The sequence below is a fragment of the Homo sapiens genome, chromosome 1, assembly GCF_000001405.40.
Source record: "Homo sapiens chromosome 1, GRCh38.p14 Primary Assembly".
Taxonomy (NCBI): domain Eukaryota; kingdom Metazoa; phylum Chordata; class Mammalia; order Primates; family Hominidae; genus Homo; species Homo sapiens.
The window spans coordinates 29,751,799-29,756,606 of NC_000001.11; the positions used below are offsets into that span (position 1 = coordinate 29,751,799).

Here is a 4,808-nt window from a genome sequence, read left to right on the forward strand (position 1 = left end):
GCTTGAAATTTTATATCCCATCAAATATCCCATAAAATGCACCCCCCAGCAAGGTTGTCAGGTGACTGAAGACAGGAATGCAACTTCTGAAGCAACACCTCTCCCCTATTAAGTACAAAAGCTCTTGGGATAATAATAACTACTTTTCAAAGCACTGACTATGTACCAGTCTCCATACTGAGTGGTTTATTCTCATAATTTCATTTAGTTCTCATCACAGTCCTATAAGGTAAGGTACCCCTGTTATCTTCACTTGCTGGACACAGCAACCAAGGCATAGAAAGAGGTTAAGAAATGCAGCCAAGTTCAGACAATTTGTAAGTGGTAGATCCAGGATCTGAACACAAGCAGTCTAACTCCAGAGTCTATGCCTTCATTTCTGATCACAAAATACAGTTTGCAAGAGCAAATTTCCCATAGCAACCAGCTAATTCCGCCCAGGAGACAAAAGCAAATGAGTGACCCCAGAAGTCCGAAGACGAAGGCATCCCCTCAGAGCTCTCCGCGGTGCTGAAACCCACCTGTCTGTAACTCTGGCTGACTTCAGTGTTTGTCCTCTTTGAACCCGGCCCCTTTGTTTTGGCTACTTTTGATAACCCCTCTATGTTTTAAGTTGCCATCGGATCATTCCTTTTCCCATAAGGTGCCCTAGCTGAGCCCTGGGCCGACAGTCCTGTTACCAGGCCATGTCCTTATTGGCTTTTTCTCTTAATCAAATCTTTACTCATCCCTGAGCTTAAAGGAAGAAAGGAGAAACAGTCCCTGTCCCCATGGAGCTACAGTCAGTTTGGGGGAGATAAGGCAGACAAGGGACACATTAGATGAAACCCAAGACTCCCAGCACAGCACATAAGGTCCCACAGGATCTACTCTAATGTCACCTTTTGCCTCTGACATTACCTGTGTGTCTGCTATTCTCTGGCCACAGGATGCATCTCTAACTTCTGGGACCATTCCCAAGCTGCTTCATCGGGCCTGTAAGGGTGGAGTATGGAGTTAAAAGGCAAGTGGCACTACTAAATGGGTCTGGGGGTGGGTGGGGGCAAGGGCAGGGCCTTGTAAGCCTTGTTGTGGGGTTTTAATTTTTCTCCTGAAGGCCACATCCTGGAGCCACTGACAAGTGTGAAGTGAGGAACTGACGTGATCAGATGTGGATATCAGGGGTCAAGGCTGGAGGTCAGGAGATCATTGAGGAGGCTGTTGGAAGGTCCAGGTGAGAGATGATGGCAGCTGACCAAAGAGAGAGGAAGCCCTTTTACACCACACTTCCCTGCTCGATTTCCTCCCCTGCATCCATCATGCTATACATTTTCTTGGCATTTTTTCATTGGTTATTATTTGTCTGTTTCTCTGCATGAAATTCAGTAATAAGGAGGCAGGAACTTTGTTTGCCTTGTTTACCACTGCATCCCTGGTTCCGGATATGCAGCAGGTGGGTGAGTGATGAGTGTAGAGAGGGTTGGAATGGGGAAGATTGGTGATGGTGTATACAGGATGTCTGGCAGAGAAAATGAAGCTTAGGGTGCAGAATATGTGAGGAGCCTCAGGGTCTGGGGATGGAGCCCCCACACTCTTCTGCTACAGGTCTGGGTTTGGGCAGTGAGCCTGCAAGTGAGACCAAGTTGTCTCAGCTGTGATGGGAAGCAGTCTGCTGAGGCTGGGTTGGGCAGGTTCTGCCAGGGCTCTGATGCTGATCCACTTCCATAGATGTAGACCACAGATGCCCAGGATGAGTCTGGGGCAGGGGGCCAGGCGCCAGTCCCTCCCAGAGACTCTGAACTCTATGGCCAAAGCTTAGGTTTCCTGGAATTGTTTCCTACCCCCACCCCTGTTACCATTTCTATGATGTAAGGAACCCAGTGATTTAGGGCATGGATGTAGAAGATCCCTGAGTGAGATCATCTGGAAGGCAGCTCTGGCTCATCATGCCAGATCTGGGCTCCTCCACCTTCCTGGATCCTGACTCCTCTGCCATGACCCTGGGGATGGTGTAGCCAGGGTCCCACACCCCAATGGCACTGACAGGTACCTCCTCTGGGAGGCCCCATGGTGGCTCTGGGCCTGTCCCAGAGGCTCTCTCTGCCCTTAAGGAGCTCCTGGTCTAGCAGGGTTGGGGGTTAGGGACAATAGGTGGACCTGCTATCACTACCCAGGGGCTGAATAACTAACAGGAGCAAGCCCGGGGCTGTGGGGACCCTGAGCAGGGGCTCCTGACCTCTCCTGGGGGTCAGGGAAAGCTTCCTGGAAGAGGGTGATACCTGAGCAGAGGAGCAAAGAGTGTACTGGAATTAGACAAGTGAAAGGCAAGCAAAGAGCTCCAGGGAGAAGGGCCAGCAAGAGGAGAGAGCTGGGGCCTGAGGGAGTGGGGCGTGGGGGGAGTGGAGTCTGGGGCAGGCAGGAAATGAGGCTGGAGACATGAGACATGAGTGGGGGCTTCTTCATGTTCATCCCAGAGTTCCCACTGAGTGCCAGGCCCACCGCTGAGGGCTCAGGGACAAAATAACTCTTTCTGCTTGAGACCACATCTGTGCTGACTCAGAGACAGAAGGGCCAGAGCCTCCTCCCTAATGAATCCTGGGCCTGGAGTGCACACACTCTTCAGCCCTGTCCTCCTGTCCCCCTCCTGCCCTCTCCTGTGCATCTAGGGCACTATGGTAGGGTGAGGTCTGGGTGGGGGAACTGCCAGCAGGCTGCCAATTTCTCTTCAGGCAATTTGTGGAAGAGGTTTCCAGAAAGGGCAGCTGTGATTAACTCAAATGAACTGTAAAACTCTATTTAGTTTAAAGGCTTTGCAAGCCAGGATATTAGTGGCAGGCAGGGTGGGGTTATGGGAGACTGATTAGCAGCCAGTGGGGCTGCCCCTGGAGCTCACCAGTCAGCAGACCCTGGCCAAGCATCCACCATGTACCAGGTCCCATGCTGGGCTCTGGGCCTCAAAGACAGGTGAGACCCAGGTGGCCCTGGAGAGCTCACAGCCCAGGCCCCATGGAGAGATGAGAAATTGGCAGTTTTAGAACAGTCAGGGAAATGCTTGTGAGGGGGAAACAGGAGTGTGGAGGAGGGGCCCTGAACCCGGGAAGAGGTGCCTGGGATGGGCAGAAGCGACCTCGTGCAAATGACCTGACTCAAATCCCAGCTCCATCATTTACTTCCCAGATGAGAGCCCTTGGCCAGATGCTTCATGTGTGAACCTCAGTTTTTCTTCTGTAAAATGGGAATGGATAATAGCTATCCCTGCAGGGTTGCTGTGGGTGTTAAATGGGATAACCACGTAAAGCCCACAGCACAGTGCCTGGTACACAGTGGCTCTCAGTACACACCAGCTGCTGTTGGCCCTCAAGCAGGGCTGTGCAGAAAGCTGGCATCAGGCAGGCCTGGGAGAGGGTGTTTCGGGAAGATGGCCCAGCACACGCAGAGGCCTGCACACAGCTGACTCTGTGTGGCGAGTGTGAGACGAGAGTGGGAAAGACGAGGCTGCAGAGGTTTGTGTGGCCGTTTCATGAGGGCCCTGCCGTCCACGCTGTTGTTGGGATTTTAGTCCTCAGAGCAGCGGAGCCGTGGAAGGACTTTGAGAGGGGGCATGGCCTGTTCATGTTGGCTGCAGCCTGTGAACTGCAGGGGGAGGGTCTGGGTCCAGGAGACTGGAGCAGCTGTGCAGTGTCTGGGGAGAGAAGATGGTGCCCTGGACTGTGTGAGAACAGTGTAGACAGAGGGTATGGAGGGAGACCCCAGGGAGGCAGGGCTGGAAGACCCCCAGCAGGGGCTGCAGGGCAGCAGCAGCTGAGGACAGGCCCAGGCCCAGTGTTCTGAAAGGAAGGTGGTGCTGAGCTCCAGGAAGGAGCAGGTGTCTGGGCCCCGGGATTCTGTGCCTGTTGGAGGGAAGTGCCAGCTTGGCCATGGGGGAGCGACTGGGACTGCAGACCCTTCAGCCTCCCTCAGGCTGAGGGAGGGGCTGCCCAGACCCCCTTCTTCCAGCCAGGCCCTCCCTGAGCCCCGCAGCTGGTCTGGCCCAGCCTGGCCCTGCAGCCCCCTCTGTGGGCACTCAGGCTGCATCCAGCCCACGCAAACTGTAAAACTCTATGTAGTTTAAAGGCTTTGGAAACCAGGATATTGGTGGCACGCAGGATGGGGCTATGGGGGCTGCCCACGTGACCCCCTCACCTCAGCCCAAGCTGCTTCAGAAGGTGAACTTGAGCACTTCACCCTGTGCTTTTCCCCTCCCCTCATGGAGAACATCAGCCTCTTTAATGCAGGGGCGCAGGGCGGTGGCCTCCCCCGCAGTCAGGACCGCAGAAGCCCAAACCAGGAGAGGGTCAGGGACAGTGGGAGACAGAGACAGATGGTGACAGGGACTTGGTGACAGAAGGAGCCAGTGATGAAAGAGAAACAGAGGGAGGGGAGGCCGGAGGGAGGCCTGGAGACAAGGCACCTGGCCCCAGGGACTTGCTTGGGGCTGGGGAGTCACTGGGGCTCAGATGACCCCCCTTCTCTGTGGCGGGTCTTCTTAGAGAAAAGAAATCACTCTCCAACCAATTAATCTAGTTAGACATAATCAAGTTGTGGGGATCCGTGCAGCAGGGTGAGTGATTAGGAAAAATTACCTCCCTGCAAAGGGTTTAAATTTGATTTTCATCCCATAATCTAAAGACCAAATACCGAAGAGTAGGCTTTCTGCACACCTCCCCTTTCTTCCTCCCTACAGCCGCCACCAGCTGATGATCTAAGAGTTACCTGATGAAGGGGACCGGCTTAGAGGGTCAAACTACAATCTGCACAGTGACATACACAACTCAGGATAGCCACAAAGT

At 53.7% G+C, this 4,808-nt stretch overlaps 1 annotated feature.

Annotated features, from left to right (window-relative positions):
* Positions 371-571: a silencer, noted in NCBI's record as "peak147 fragment used in MPRA reporter construct". NCBI's record gives its function as "represses an SCP1 promoter by STARR-seq MPRAs in K562 erythroleukemia cells {active_cell/tissue: K562}" and the evidence as "EXISTENCE:reporter gene assay evidence [ECO:0000049][PMID:32103011]".